This window comes from Homo sapiens, chromosome 8 (assembly GCF_000001405.40).
Source record: "Homo sapiens chromosome 8, GRCh38.p14 Primary Assembly".
Lineage (NCBI taxonomy): Eukaryota > Metazoa > Chordata > Mammalia > Primates > Hominidae > Homo > Homo sapiens.
This window is the reverse complement of record NC_000008.11, coordinates 8,317,509-8,333,146: the sequence shown is the minus strand read 5'-3', so window position 1 is coordinate 8,333,146 and position 15,638 is coordinate 8,317,509. Positions and strand designations below refer to the sequence as shown.

The 15,638-nt window shown below is 47.6% G+C and overlaps 1 protein-coding gene and 1 long non-coding RNA gene across 4 annotated transcripts in view; one reads left to right on the top strand and one right to left on the bottom strand.

Moving 5' to 3' along the window:
* Window positions 1–15,411, top strand: part of PRAG1 (PEAK1 related, kinase-activating pseudokinase 1) — a 68,704-nt gene extending 53,293 nt beyond the window's left edge. For all 3 annotated transcript variants that reach the window (NR_163138.1, NM_001080826.3, NM_001369759.1), the window contains 2 exons: window positions 4,686–5,437; window positions 13,845–15,411. Coding sequence is in view for 2 of the 3 variants with exons in the window: in NM_001080826.3 (NP_001074295.2) it covers window positions 4,686–5,437; window positions 13,845–14,993 (1,901 nt within the window). In the remaining variant the exon portion in view is untranslated. The remainder of the gene's footprint in view (window positions 1–4,685; window positions 5,438–13,844) is intronic.
* On the bottom strand, window positions 11,254–12,890 carry LOC124901879 (uncharacterized). Its single transcript, XR_007060799.1, has 3 exons — window positions 12,830–12,890; window positions 12,221–12,303; window positions 11,254–11,328 (listed from the first exon to the last, which is right to left on the bottom strand). It is a non-coding gene; the product is annotated as an uncharacterized LOC124901879 (long non-coding RNA).
* Window positions 15,412–15,638: the final 227 nt, after the last annotated feature.

The following is a 15,638-nucleotide window of genomic DNA, read 5'->3' as shown; positions in this document are numbered from 1 at the left end:
TAAGGCAGAATTTGGAAACAGCAATCCAACACCAGCATCAAACCAGGATGTGTCTGAGTTAGTCTCATGTCCCTTGGGATCCAAGTCTGGAGAATATTGGCTGTTGGCTAAAGTCGTGGAGGATTTTTTAGGCAGACTTTTCTGAACCAGTGGTTTGCCTGTGAACTCGGAAGTATTTTAGGTGTCAGGGTATATTTGTTCCCTGTTATTTCCAGCTTGCCTAATCCAGAGTGTGGCAGCCGTTGCAAACAGTAAGAACATAGATGCTGTGTTGCCTAAGGCCATGTTTATGGAGAGATAGTTCCCCAGGTAAGAGTCAAGAGAATTAGCCAGAGGAGGTCTTTAGGAGTGCCTTTAGATTCCATAGAAGACAGCTACCATTTGCCATGTAGTGGAGAAACCAATTTCATCTACAAGGGCTGCATGTTAGCATCTATTTCAAAGTATCCCCAAGAGTATTAACACCTGAGAAACTATAGGATCCTCGGAGGCCTGGAGTGGCCTGGAGGTGGTGGGGTGGGGGTGGGGGCTCCAAGAGTGAATTCTGACCTCTCACCAGCTGTAATTCCACACCTGGAGAGCTTTAAGGATCCGTAAACTCAGAGGAAGAATGCGTTAGGTTGGAATGCAGTATGCTTGTCATAGAACCAGGCATATCTTTTCTGAATACAAAAATCATAATAGACCGGGCACAGTAGCTCACACCTGGAATCCCAGCACTTTAGGAGTCCGAGGTGGGTGGATCACCTGAAGGTCAGAAGTTCAAGACCAGCCTGGCCAACATGGTGAAACCCCGTCTCTACTAAAAATACAAAAAATTAGCTGGGCGTGATGGTGGGTGCTTGTAATCCCAGCTACTTGGGAGGCTGATGCAGGAGAATCACTTGAACCCAGGAGGCAGAGTTTGCAGTGAGCCGAGATCCCACCATTACACTCCAGCCTGGGCAACAAGAGCAAAACTTCATCAAAAAAAAAAAAAAAAATCGTAATATGTGTAGATAATGCCCAGGTATCCCTGTGAAGTCCACATTTCAGGGGAGCTGTATTTCACCTGATGAGGTTTGTGTAGCTACAGGACTTTACTTCTGCTGGGCAAGGGCGTGGATAGGGAATGTTTGGGTATGCAGTGCTAGCCTCTAATGAGTGTGTGTATAATGCGGCGAGTACTGAGTTTGGTGCCCCAAACTCATAGCATCTAAGAAACAAAGAAAAATTAATCAGTGCATGTGCTAATTCTTGAAGTTAAGCTTCTCTGCTAATACCTAGTACCCCTTGTCAGATTTACCCAAGTAGTGATACGGTGTAGATCTGATCAAAGTCACTGACTAACAGCTCCTACAGGAAAGCAAGAGAAAACAGAGGGAAGGACAAAATCACTTCCTTCCAGCTGCCTGAATACACGAAGGGTTTTTTGTGCTGGGACCTACCATACAGTCTAAAGCAGAACCTCTTGGTTCTCTTTGGTCATCTAGGGAATTAGAAGTGTTACCGATTATGTTGCTAAAAGATCCCTGGTCTCCTCACAGATTGGAAAATGTACCAGTGGTAATTTGTGTGAACTAGACATAGAAGGAAGAACAATTGAACCGAGATAACAATCTGCCTAGAGCTATTTGATTTCAGGGGCAGCTTTGAGACAAAATGCATGTTCAGAGAGGTTGAAAATGGAGAGAGTAGCTGAAATTATAGACTATTAGTGCTGCAAGGGGCCTTCACAATGATGTCATCGGTCATTTTCTAAAGGAGGAAACTCAGGCAGGGCAGGCTGACAGCTGGTGAAGTGTTCACTCCACTGCTCACCCTCAAATTGGAGCAGAAGCAGAAAGGGGCATACTGGTGGCATCAGGATAGCCTTGTAGTAAAGACAAGGAAGACAAAATCAATAAACATGGAGAAATAAGCCTAAGGCTTAAAGAAGAGACTAACCAGGAAACTGATCTGTTATGAACCTCCCTAGCCGACTGGACTTGGGATGGGAAGGAATCCTGACCGTAGGCAGGTTGTCCTTGTCTCTGAGGGCACTGATGAAAGCATTGACCAGGGTTCTGATCACACCCCACTCCCATCTCCCAGCCTCAGCTTCTGTTGTGTTGATGATAAATTGAGAATCAGACGCCTCGCTGGTGACGGTTTCTGCTGCCCAGAATGCAGAAAGGTCAGGAAGTGGATGTGTGCTCACGGCTCCCAGTCCTCCTGCTCATCAGGCTGGGAGTTTGGTGACTGAGGCTTACAGTCCTTTGAGAGCCTCATAAGTAGGTGGTCTTACCCTCCTTTTTTTATCCAGGAGGTGGCAACTGATCCTCCTCCTGCTCTCAGCCTCTTCTGTTAGAGGGAGGAGGGAGAGGAAGTGAATCATCTGCCCTAGCCTCCGTCTGTCCCCATTGCTTTCCTGGGGAGCGTGGGATGGGGAGACCTGTGGACTGCAGGATTTCAGCACCTGCTGAGATCACTGCCATCTAGATCTTCCCTCTTCTGGCTCGCTATTTCTTCTGCGCCCTTCATTCTGACTATTGAGGGGGAAATTCGTGGGCATGTAAAAGTGACTGGTCCAGACTGCACCACCACTGCTTGATTTATTATTAACTTGAGCCCTCCTGGAAGGGGTATAAATCACTCACTCAGCCTTGCTGCCAGGGGCCCCGCCTATCATTAGCAAATGGGAAGGGCAACTCCCTATGATCTTGATAAACCACAGGGAAACAAGGATTGCTTACTACAGATGGGAAAGTGGGCAAGGAGAGCTTAAGAAACACGGTGCTCCCTCTTGAATTTCATTTTCACTTGTGACAGTCTCACTCTATAGCCCAGGTGGGAGTGCGGTGGCACAGTCTCGGCTCACTGCAATTTCTGACTCCTAGGTTCAAGTGATCCTCTCCCCTCAGCCTCCTGAGTAGCTGGGATTATAGGCATGCACCACCACGCCCAGCTAATTTTTGTATCTTTTGTAGAGTTGGGGGTTCGCCATTTTGCCCAGGCTGGTCTTGAACTCCTGAGCTCAAGTGATCCTCCCGCCTTGGCCTCCCAAAGTGCTGAGATTACAGGCATAAGCCACCGTGCCCAGCCCCTGTTGAGTCTTATGATAGATGATAGAGCCAAGGAGGATATTGGTGCAAGGACCCCATAGTCTTGCTCAGCTCCCCAGGGCTTTTCTTTGCATGAATCCATTGGTTCTCAGCTCCTGTGTTCAACAGGTTGCATGCACTGAGTTTGTCCTCCCGTCAGCGTTGCATTCAAGGTTGTGCCCTGCTGTCGCTCACTAATGCTGCCTCGGTCACTGAGGCTGGGGCATGAATGTCAGCCCATGGCCATCCATCTTGCTCCCTAGAGAGACCCTCCTCCCTGTGGAGCAGCAGAAATAAAGAGACCCAGTCTTGATCTATGTGGCTTGCAACTGGTGTTTGAGCCTCAGGGATCTATTCTGTTCCCTCTTGGGTTGGAGAAAGCAGAGAAGGGCTCAGTGTGAGCTAGAAGGTTATTAACTGTTCAGGAGCAGCCCTAGAAATGTCCTGTGCACCTGAGTGAGGTGACACAAGACTCATAATTTGCTTCCTTTGGGGCCTTCTACCCCTTGTCTTCTCCTATGCTTTTGTTCTGCTTTTTTTTGTTGTTTTCTGGTCCTACTGCCAAGGTGTGGAAAGGCATAGAGACACTCCATGCTCTTCCCTTAGGGTGATGTGGCATGGAGAACTCAATGAGGGGCACACATCCTAAGTACACATTTCCTTAGGGCTGCAACCCATTATTATTATTATTATTAGATGAAGTTTCACTCTGCCACCCAGGCTGAGTGTAGTGGCGCAATCTTGGCTCACTACAACCTCCATCTCCCGGGCTCAAGCGATTCTCCTGCCTCAGACTCCTTAGTCGCTGGGATTATAGGCACGCACCACCACCCCCAGCTAATTTTTGTATTTTTAGTAGATACGGGATTTCACCATGTTGGCCAGGCTGGTCTCAAACTCCTGAGCTCAAGTGATCCGTCCACCTCAGCCTCCCAAAGTGCTGGGATTACAAGCATGAGCCGCCGCACCCAGCCAAAAGGGAGAATTTTACCATTGGCCAGTTACACCCTCTATAAACCTGACTTTTAAAAAATTCCACGGAAACCACACATGTTCGAGTTTGTTATTGCTGTTGCAGCATTGTTTGCAAAATATTGGAAACAATTTAAGTGTCCATCAAAAAGGGATGGTTAAATTATGATACTTGCATATGGTGATATATTATGGTGAGACTGTTTAAAATAATTAAATAGATCTGCATATTTGATTTAAAAATCTCTCCAAGATGTGAAAGAAAAGCATTATTCCAAACAGTAGCCACCGTTTGCTCTTTTCTATGTAATTTGTGTGTGTGTGTGTGTGTGTGTGCGCACGCGTGCAGGCACGCATTTGTTTGGATTGTTGGAGGGATGCATGAAACACTACTGACAGTGGTTTCCTCTGATGAGAGAGCTGAGTATGAGGGACAGGGTAGGAGGAAGACTTAGTTGTCAATCTATACCTTTTCTGCATTTTGATTTTTTCCATTGTGCATATATTGTCTATTAGAGAAATAGAAAAGAAGTAACATAAAATTAATTGCTCTGACCAAATAAATAAATAAATAAAGGGAAACAAGTCTGCAGGACCCTGGAATTGAGTGGCACTGGCCTTGGTCTTATGGTTTCTGTCTCTCCTCTTCAGGTCCCTCGTCTGAGCTGGCTCACTCGCCCACCAACAGCGGGAAGAAGCTCTTTGCTCCCGTTCCGTTTCCTTCAGGCTCCACTGAGGACGTGTCCCCCAGTGGCCCCCAGCAGCCCCCTCCACTCCCCCAGAAAAAGATAGTGAGCCGGGCAGCCTCTTCACCGGATGGCTTCTTCTGGACCCAAGGCTCCCCCAAGCCCGGAACAGCAAGCCCCAAGCTGAACCTAAGCCACTCGGAAACCAACGTCCACGACGAATCTCACTTTAGCTATTCGTTGAGCCCCGGGAACCGCCACCATCCTGTCTTCTCCTCTTCCGATCCTCTGGAGAAAGCTTTCAAAGGCAGTGGCCACTGGCTTCCGGCAGCAGGGCTGGCGGGCAACAGAGGCGGCTGCGGGAGCCCTGGCCTCCAGTGCAAAGGGGCCCCCTCCGCCTCATCCTCCCAGCTGAGCGTGTCCAGTCAAGCCTCCACCGGGAGCACCCAGCTTCAGCTGCACGGTCTCCTGAGCAACATCAGCAGCAAGGAGGGCACCTATGCCAAGCTGGGGGGACTCTACACCCAGTCCCTGGCCCGCCTTGTAGCCAAATGTGAGGACCTCTTCATGGGCGGCCAGAAAAAGGAGCTCCACTTCAATGAGAATAACTGGTCGCTCTTCAAGCTGACTTGTAACAAGCCCTGCTGTGACTCGGGGGATGCCATTTATTACTGTGCCACCTGCTCTGAGGACCCCGGCAGCACCTATGCTGTGAAAGTAGGTACCACTCCCTCCTTGCATTCTGCTGTGCCACTGGCTGGTGCTGGCTTGGGCAGAACTGTGGCCTGAGCAAGTCATTTCACCTGTCTGGGCATTAGGAGGGGAGTTGATTCCTAAGCATTCTTTTTTTTCTTGTAAGATAAGAGTCTCACTTTGTTGCCCAGGCTGGAGTGCAGTGGCACAATCTTGGCTCACTACAGCCTCCGCCTCCCATTTTAAAGCGATTCTCCTGCCTCATCCTCCTGAGTAGCTGGGATTATCTGTGTGCACCACGGTACCCAGCTAATTTTTGTATTTTTAGTAGAAATGGGGTTTTGCCATATTGGCCCGGCTGGTCTTGAACTCCTGACCTCAGATGATCCACCCACCTCGGCCTCCCAAAATGCTGGGATTACAGGTGTGAGCCACCACCCCTGACCCCTAAGCATTCTTTTAACACTTAGTGCTCAGCAGCTTCACTCTCTCTCTGCCCCAGGACATGGTGCAATGAGATTTGTAGTATGAATATAAGACACATTCTGTGCTTTAGCTGAGTTAAGAAAACAGTTGCCTTTTAGTGCAACGGAGAGTTTATTCATTTATTGACCAGGTTTTTATTGAGTGTCTACTATAGGCCAGGTACTTTGCCACAATCTGAGTATGTAGGTGTGAATATAAGCTTCCTTATAGAGCTATGATGTAGTGAGGGAGATGGATAATGAGGTCATTCTTCTAATGTTAGATCCAGAAGGAGCATTCGACCTAGGAATCATCTTGAACAATAATAGTAATAATATCATTTGTGTGAGCATTCACTCTACAACTAGACTCTTACCTCTAATCCTAACAGTAATCCTACAGGTTAGGTAGGTTTTACAGATGGAGGATCTGAGGCTCAAAGTGGTTAAGTAATTTGCCCATAGCTAGTTGGTGGCTGGAATGGATTTGAGCTCTTCTGTGTCTGTCTCCAAAGCCTAAGTTATGTCCCTACCATTTAAGATAAATGAAGTTCAGAGACATTAAGTGACTAGCTCAAGGCAGCACAGCTCTTTAACCTTTGATGCTGGATCAGGCCTCTTGCTACCCACACTGTATTGCACTGTCAGAGTGCAGCTCTGTGTGAGCTAGTTGAGCCATCTGCACCCATTTGGGCCACTGGAGTCTCTACCATGAACTCCAGTCCTTCCTGTGGCCCTATTTGTCATCTTCTTTTGCTGTTCCTTGATTACCTATTGAGACCCTGGCCCTTCTATAAATGTGGGCTTTTATTGGGAGTCAGGAGGGAGACCCTGAGCTATCTTCTCTCATCACCTGCCCTAAGACATCGCTTTTTTTTCCAGTTAGAAAAGTGCAAAGAATAAGCTAATTTGAAATGGCCTTGGTGGGGTAGCTTGCTTACCAACAATTTTTTAAAATAATATTGCTAACATTTTAAAAATAATATTAAACAATATTTAAGTAATATTATTATTACTATTAATATTCAGTATATATAAATAATATATAGTAGTTGTAATTAATAGTAGTAATAATACTAATATTCAATATATATTATTTATAATTATTTATTATTTATATATACTGAATATTATTAATAGTAGTAGTAATAGTATTATTATAAATAATATATACTGAATAATATTATTCAGTATCAAGAGACAGCTGACCTTTCTGTTTTGAGGAGGAAAAAGCCTGGTGGAAGACACTGAATTCCTCTTGTCCATGGTATAGAAAGTGAGGTGACCCTTCTGCAAGAAGTAAGGGGCCCTTGGGACAAACTTTTTTTTTTTTTAATTATTATTAATGTATTTATTTAGAGACAGAGTCTCGCTCTGTTGCCCAGGCTGGAGTACGTGGTGTGATCTCGGCTGACTGCAACCTCCATCTCCTGGGTTCAAGCGATTCTCCTGCCTCAGTCTCCTGAGTAACTGGGACTACAGGCGCCGCCCCCTCACCACGCCTGGCTAATTTTTGTATTTTTAGCAGAGATGGGGTTTCCCCATATTGGCCAGGCTGGTCTCGAACTCCTGACCTTGTGATCCACCTGCCTCGGCCTCCGAAAGTGCTGGGATTACAGACATGAGCCACCGTGCCCCGCCACAGTTTTGTTTTTCACAAACATAAATAATTGTGCTGTGCAGCTTGGATTCTAGGGCCCCATATATTACTGCAGAATTAGCCGTATTCTCTAATAAACAACACAAAAGAAATTTAACTTTCCTTAAGAATGTTAAAAACAAGTGTTGCTCCTTATTTCATTAGAAACAGAAGCCACACAGAAACCAAAAGATAAGCCTTAGCCCTCTAAACAGGAGCCGCAGGGGTTTCCTAGTTGACTTTCCTGGAGACGTGGTAGCTCAAGGACCGTCTCTGTGCCACGTGAAAAAGGAAAGTTGGAGACTAGCATCCAATATGCAGAGGATGGTAATTCTTGGAACAACGTTACCAGGAACAATATTAATTTGCAAATGTGCCTGGCCTGGTCATTGGGGGGGCGGGCCGTGGGGGCCCTGGAGCATCATTTCGCACGGGCAGCTGTTCCACTTCATTAGCTCTCCAGTCTAGACGAAATACAGTCATCTGGGGATCCGCAGGAGGGGGAGTGGGTCTCCCTTCCCAGCCAGCGAGCTGCCTGTCTGAGGCTGAGCGCATTTTATCTGCACATGTTAAACAGGGAGCCGGCACTGAAGGCAGACGGAGCCTCGTTTGCGGTCGCGGAGTCCTAGTTAACAATAGCAGGCTCACACCTGCTCCTTGCTGATGCTGGAACCTACTACTTTGGGCTCAGCGCCCTGCAGCAGTGAGGAGATAAAGCTGGTTCTTGTAGCTCCACCGCATGAATAGGTGACAGGAAAAAAAAAATCATTAGTTGTGTGTGCGTCTTCGAAGCAGTTTCATTTCTCAGCCATCTAGACAGAATTCTAGTTTGGTAATTAGGGCCCCGTTTTAAGCTGCTGGGCCTTTTTTATTTAACAGACATGATTTAGCCCAGACTTTCGCCCGTGAATGAGGCCCTGACTCCAAAGTTTAAATGAGTCCTGGCTCAGCAAAACGTTAGAAACTTGAGCTGAACCAAGAGTCTATGTAAAGTTCTAGAGCTAAAAATCCGAGTGCAGGGCCCCCTGAAAATGAAATGAGGTTGGTTGGGGGCAGGGAGTAGGGAGATGGAGATGGAGAAAAAGCCACTCCCTCCCCCACCGCCCCTTCCCCCACCCAGTGCTGTGGAATGATCTCCGGCGCGGGCCTACAGCTCACTCACAGGGCTAGTTAGCATGCGCCCAACGCAGCCTTCTCCGTTGCTGGCCTTTGAGGAAGCTGCGGGTCTTGCCAAAGGCCCAGTGCACTGATTTTGAAATGCATCCAGCCCAGTTGCCATTTACTCTGCTCCTTCATTTACATCTCTGTGCAAAATGTCAGCAGCCTGACTGGAGCTCCAGGCCTCAAGTGTTTGCTGGGCCCAGGCTTTTCATACCCCTGAGAAAAAGGAGCCTTGGAAACTCTTCCCAGGCCCCTGGGCAGCTGTGCTCTTCGGGTTTGCACAATACCTGCAGGCCAGCTCTGGATGCCTCCGCATCACCAGAGGGCTACAGCCGAGATGGCAAGAGCAGTCACCATAGCAACCTTCCCCATTGTGCTTGCCCTGGGCTGGGCCTGGCGCTGAGAGCCATGCCTGCATCATTTCATCTGATCCTCACAATGGCCCTACGAGGAAGGACTATCCCTGCCCCTGTCATTCAGAGGAGAAAACATGCTTTGAGATAAATACCGTCCATCTTCATTATTTATGGATTCTGTATTTGCAAAATCATCTACCCGCTCAAATTTATGTGTAATTCCAAAATCAATACTCGAAGCGCTTTCCAGTGATTTCTGGATACGTGTAAGGGAAGGAAAAATTTGAGTCACCTGATGTTTAGTTCTCACGATGCTAATAAAGACATACCTGAGACTGGGTAATTTACAAGGGAAAGAGATTTAATTGACTCACAGTTCAGCATGGCTGGGGAAGCCTCAGGAAACTTACAATCATGGTGAAAGGGGAAGCAAACACGTCCTTCTTCACATGGTGGCAGCAAGGAGAAGCCAAGCAAAAGGGGCAAAAGCAGCCAGGTGCAGTGGCTCATGCCTGTAATTCCAGCACTTTGGGAGGCCAAGGCAGGTAGATCACGAGGTCAGGAGTTCAAGACCAGCCTGGCCAACATGGTGAAACTTCATCTCTACTAAAAAATGAACAATACAAAAATTAGTCAGGTGTGGTGGTAGGCACCTGTAATCCCAGCCACTTGGGAGGCTGAGGCAGGAGAATCACTTGAAGCCAGGAGGTGGAGATTGCAGTGAGCCAAGATGCGCCACTGCACTCCAGCCTGGGCAACAGAGCAAGACTCTATCTCAAAAAAAAAAAAAAAGGGAGGGAAAAGAAAACCCCTTATAAAGCCATCAGATCTCATGAGAACTCACTCACTATCATGAGAACATCACCAGGTTCCTCCCACCACACGTGGGGATTATGAGAACTACAAGATGAGATTCGTTTGGGGACACAGCCAAACCATATCACCCAATGTGCATGTTTCCAGCTGAAGGGGAATGAGGCGACAGTCTCCCATCTTGTTTCAGCCCTCATCCTGGAAGCCAGGGTCATTTTTTGCAGTCTATTTAGTGTCTTGTTTTTCACATTTGTGTGCTTTTTGTTTGTTAATGAAAAGAGTCCAACTCTGTAAAATATTAGATTTATTCTGAGCCAAATATAAGTCACCTATGGCCCATGACACAGCCCTCAGGAGATCCTGAGACCATGTTCCCAAAGTGGTCAGGCCACAACTTGGTTTTGTACATTTTAGGGAGACACAGTTATCAATCAATACATGTATGATGTACATTGAAGTTGAGGGGGCCGGGGGAGCTTCCAAGTCGTCGGTGGATTCAAAGATTTTCTGATTGGCACTTGGTTGAGAGAGTTATTATCAATAGAAAGGAATGTCTGGATTATGAGAAGGGGTTATGGAGACCAAGACTTTATCATGCAGACGAAGCCTCCAGGTAGCAGGCTTGAGTGAGAACACATTGTAAATATTTTTATCAGACTTGAAGAGACTGCCCTATCAGTAATCCCAACAGGGAGGAGGGTAGCATGAGGCATGTCCAGCGCCCCCTTCCCATCATGGCCTGAACTCATTTTTTTATGTTCACTTTGGAATGCCCTTGACTGAGAGGAGGGGTCCATTTCAGATGGTTGGAGGGCCTTAGAATTTTATTTTTGGGTTTACATGTTGGTGATTTTGCTGTTTAAAATGGCCCAAGCTGGATCACCTGAGGTCAGGAGTTCGAGACCAGCCTGGGCAACATGGTGAAACCCTGTCTCTACTAAAAATACAAAAATTTAGTCGAGTGTGGTGGCAGGCACCTGTAATCCCAGCTACTCAGGAGGCTGAGGCAGAAGAATCGCTTGAACCCGGGAGGCAGACATTGCAGTGAGCCGAGATCGTGCCACTGCACTCCAGCCTGGGCGACAGAGAGACTCCATCTCAAAAACAAAACAAAACAAAACAAAACAAAACTATATATATAAAATAAAATGGCCGAAGCATAGGGCTGAAGTGCTGTCTAGTGTTCCTAACCACCACAAGGCTGGGATGTGCCTCATGGGTAAAAACATATGTGTTAGATAAGCATTTTTCAGGGATGAGCTCTAGTGCTGTTGCCCGTGAGTTCCTCTTAATGACTCAACAAGGTATGTTAAACAAGGTATCTCTAAACAGAAGCATACATGAAACAAGGTTGAATACTGGTGGGTTAATGAAAATATTGTGACCAGAGGTTCCCAGGAAACTTACCTTGTATTTCCCCTAGGAAAAACGGTTCACTATTCACTAATTCAGTGTTTATGGCTTCTTCACAGAACATAACTCCTGCAAATAATGAAAATCCCCTGTAACTTGACAAAGGTTACAGAGCTAATACTTAAACCCAGGCCTTTTTTCACTCCAGAGCCCATGCTTTTGACCTCTGCAACACTTCTCGGTTGTATAGTCCTGAGCAAATAATTTAACTTCTGGAAGCCCCAGTTTCCTCCTCTGTAATAGCATCTTCCTCCTTGGATTTAATGAGATTGAATGAGATGCTGCATGGAACCCTCACAGTTGGCACAGTACTTGCACATGCAAGAGCCCAGTCTGTAATCTGTTAGGGGTGAGACAATAACAGTGATGTCCTCCCACATCTCCACTGACAACACAGCGTATATGCAAGATGCTTTCTTTGAGGACTTCCCCCACCACCATTGCTGCAAATTTCCTTTAGTTTAATAGTGCTCCAGAAGCCTGCCATTTAAAAACCAAGTGCAGGCCAGGCACCGTGGTTCACGCGAGTAATCCCAGCACTTTGGGAGGCCGAGGTGGGAGGATCACTTGAGCCCAGGAGTTCAAGACCAGCCTGGGCAACATGGCAAAACCTTGTCTGTACAAAAATTCCAAAAATTAGTTGGACATGGTGGTGCACACCTCTAGTCCCAGCTACTCGGGAGGCTGAGGTGGGAGGATCGCTTAAACCTGGGAGGTCAAAACCGCAGTGAGCTGTGATTGCACCACTGCACTCCAGCCTGTCTCAAAAAGTAAAAAATAAAAACCGAGTAGAGTTGGGTAGTCCGGAATAAGAAAGAGCCTGAACAATGCCTTTTAGGCATGTATTTCAAAATCATTTTTGTTAGTGTAATAGGAAGCAATGTCTGGGGTAAATGTCTTTCCTTTTTATTACCATTCTGCTTTTATAATAGACAGATTACTAAATTAATGTGTTACCCACCATTCCCGACAATTAGCTTTAAAAACATCTCTTGGAGGCCAAGCTCTTGTATGCCAGGTTTCATGCTGAGAAGCTTTGCATAGCTGCAATATAAATAAATCTCCGTGAAAAGGTGCTTGCAGTAGAACTTCTAAAAGTATCGCCTGTAAGCATTGAGGTACTTCAAAAACACTGCTTCATCATCATTCCAACACTGCAGCCTGAAGGCAGGGTTATTTTAGGAGTGTTTGCAGGATAATATTTTATAGGTAGATGTGAGATGCCTTTCTTCTCACATCTGATCTTTGTCTTTCTACATTACACATTGATCTTTGTCTTTCTACAAAGCCTGGGTGAGGTTGCATAATATTCATTTGAGAGAGGGGACTTCAGTCCCTTTCAGGGTAATGACAGGGAGATTGAGGCCTGACAGAGGGCCATTACGGCTGGTTCAAGACTCTCTAGTTGAGTGGCAGCCAGATGAGGACTAGGATTGCTAGAGATCCCCAGGTGGCTGGCACTGCCATTTGTACAAGAAGAAATGGAGGAGGCGAGAAAGACAGAGTTGTGTGGATCCCCAGCTATGCTTCCCACAGAGAAGCCTGAGACCTTCCATCTTGTTTTTCCTACCTTCATCTCAGATGGTGCCCTGGGGTTCCTCTGAGGGTTCCTTCTGGTTCCTTCTTCCTTGGAGAGCTTTCTGGTTTCTTTCAGCTGCTGTGACTCACCTTGAAGGAAAAGTATGTGGGAAGTGAGGCTGCTTTCTTATAAACACTATTTGCCTTCTTGAGAATTTGTCCATACTGTGCACAGAGGGATGTCTTCCTACCAATACCTCCCGACCACACTGTGTGTTGCTCGGCAGGGACCCCACTCACTGGGTCATATGGTCATTTTATGTTTAACTTTTTAAGAAACTAACAAACTGCTCCAAGGGGTCTGCCCCATTTTACATTCCCATCAGCAATGTCTGAGGTTTCCCATTTCTGCTCATCCTCATAGACACTTGGAATTGTCTTTTATTAGAACCCATTCTAGTGGGCGTGAACTGATATCTCACTGTGGTTTTGATTTGCACTTGCCTGATGAATAATGATGTCCAGCATCTTTTCACATGCTTGTGGCCATTTACAAATTTTTTTGGTGAATTACCTATTCATATCTCTTGCCCACGTTTTTTTGTTTGTTTGTTTGTTTTTTCCTCCATGCCATGATTCTGTATCCTTTTTTAATTGGGCTGTTTGTCTTACTGAGTTGTAAAAGAGTGTTTTTTAATACAAATTCCAGAAACAAGTCCTTTATTACATACATTTTGGCAGATATTTTCTCCCAGTCTATTACTTGTCTTTCCACTTTCTTAATGGTGTCTTTTGAAGCACAAAAGTTTAGAACTTTGAGGTTAAGTTTGTGATTTTTCTTTTCTTTTGTGAACTATGCTATTGGTGTGATATTTAAGAAATCTTTGCCCAACCCAAGGCCTCAAAGATTCTGTCCCATGTTTTCTTCTAGCATGTGTATGGATTGCTCTTACCCTTAAGCCTATGTGGATAGGCTTATTGCACGTAGATACTCAAATGTTTCCACACTCTTTGCTGGGCGGAACCATGGGCCCCACTCTTGATTTCACTTCTTCTTCTCTCCACAGATCTGCAAAGCCCCTGAGCCCAAAACAGTCTCCTACTGCAGCCCGTCCGTGCCCGTGCACTTTAACATCCAGCAGGACTGCGGCCACTTCGTCGCCTCGGTGCCGTCCAGCATGCTCAGCTCCCCCGACGCGCCCAAGGACCCTGTGCCTGCCCTGCCCACACACCCCCCTGCCCAGGAGCAGGACTGCGTGGTGGTCATCACCCGAGAGGTGCCACATCAGACCGCCTCCGACTTCGTGCGGGACTCGGCGGCCAGCCACCAGGCGGAGCCCGAGGCGTACGAGCGGCGCGTGTGCTTCCTGCTTCTGCAACTCTGCAACGGGCTGGAGCACCTGAAGGAGCACGGGATCATCCACCGGGACCTGTGCCTGGAGAACCTGCTGCTGGTGCACTGCACCCTCCAGGCCGGCCCCGGGCCCGCCCCCGCCCCCGCCCCGGCTCCCGCCCCCGCCGCCGCCGCGCCTCCCTGCTCCTCTGCCGCCCCGCCTGCTGGTGGCACTCTCAGCCCCGCAGCCGGCCCCGCCTCCCCGGAAGGGCCCCGGGAGAAGCAGCTGCCCCGGCTCATCATCAGCAACTTTTTGAAGGCCAAGCAGAAGCCGGGCGGCACCCCAAACCTGCAGCAGAAGAAGAGCCAGGCCCGGCTGGCCCCCGAGATCGTGTCTGCTTCCCAGTACCGCAAGTTCGATGAGTTCCAGACAGGCATCCTCATCTACGAGCTGCTGCACCAACCCAACCCGTTCGAGGTGCGCGCCCAGCTGCGGGAGAGAGACTACCGGCAGGAGGACCTGCCGCCGCTGCCCGCGCTGTCCCTCTACTCACCCGGCCTGCAGCAGCTGGCACATCTGCTACTGGAGGCCGACCCCATCAAGCGTATCCGCATCGGCGAGGCCAAGCGCGTGCTGCAGTGCCTGCTGTGGGGGCCTCGGCGCGAGCTGGTGCAGCAGCCGGGCACCTCGGAGGAGGCGCTGTGCGGCACGCTGCACAACTGGATCGACATGAAGCGGGCCCTGATGATGATGAAGTTTGCGGAGAAGGCGGTGGATCGCAGGCGGGGCGTGGAGCTGGAGGACTGGCTTTGCTGCCAGTACCTGGCGTCTGCGGAGCCCGGGGCCCTCTTACAGTCGCTGAAGCTCCTGCAGCTTCTGTGAGCCAAGCCCCAGCCTGCACCGTCGCTGCCCCTTCCCTGCCTAACCCTTTCCTGTCTCGCCTTGGAAGCACCCATGTCTCCCTGGGAAATGGTACAGATGACTGGGATACCTGGATGTAAAATATATAAATATATATATAGAAAATACATATACCATATATAAATATGAAAGACTAAGGATGCTGTTGCCCGTCCACACTCGTCTCCTCTCTGCACTAAGTCCTCCCTGTTTTCTTCTGTAATTATACACATTTCCAGTTCCATGCAACGTCCTGAGGACAGTTCTGTGAACTGAATGCAGCCTGGACACTGGCCTCAATACCTTGTTTAGGATTTCTTCACCCTTTTGTCAAATTGTTATTTAAAGAAAAAAAAAAAAGAAGAAAATTCCATTAAAATTTTTTTTGGTTGAGTCATGAGCAAAGCTCTTTATCCTTAAGTGCCTGAGTGTATTAATATGTTTGGTGGGTAAAACGGAGCTGTCTTTGGTCTTAACGCTTTTCAGGAGATAGAGCAGCAGTCTGCAAAGGACCAGGCAAGTGGGTACCAATTCATCTTCCCTGTTTCTCTTCCCACCTGGCAGCCTTCTGGAAAGAATCCAGACACAGCCGCTGTGATCCCAGTGGTTTGGAATTCAAACCCATTT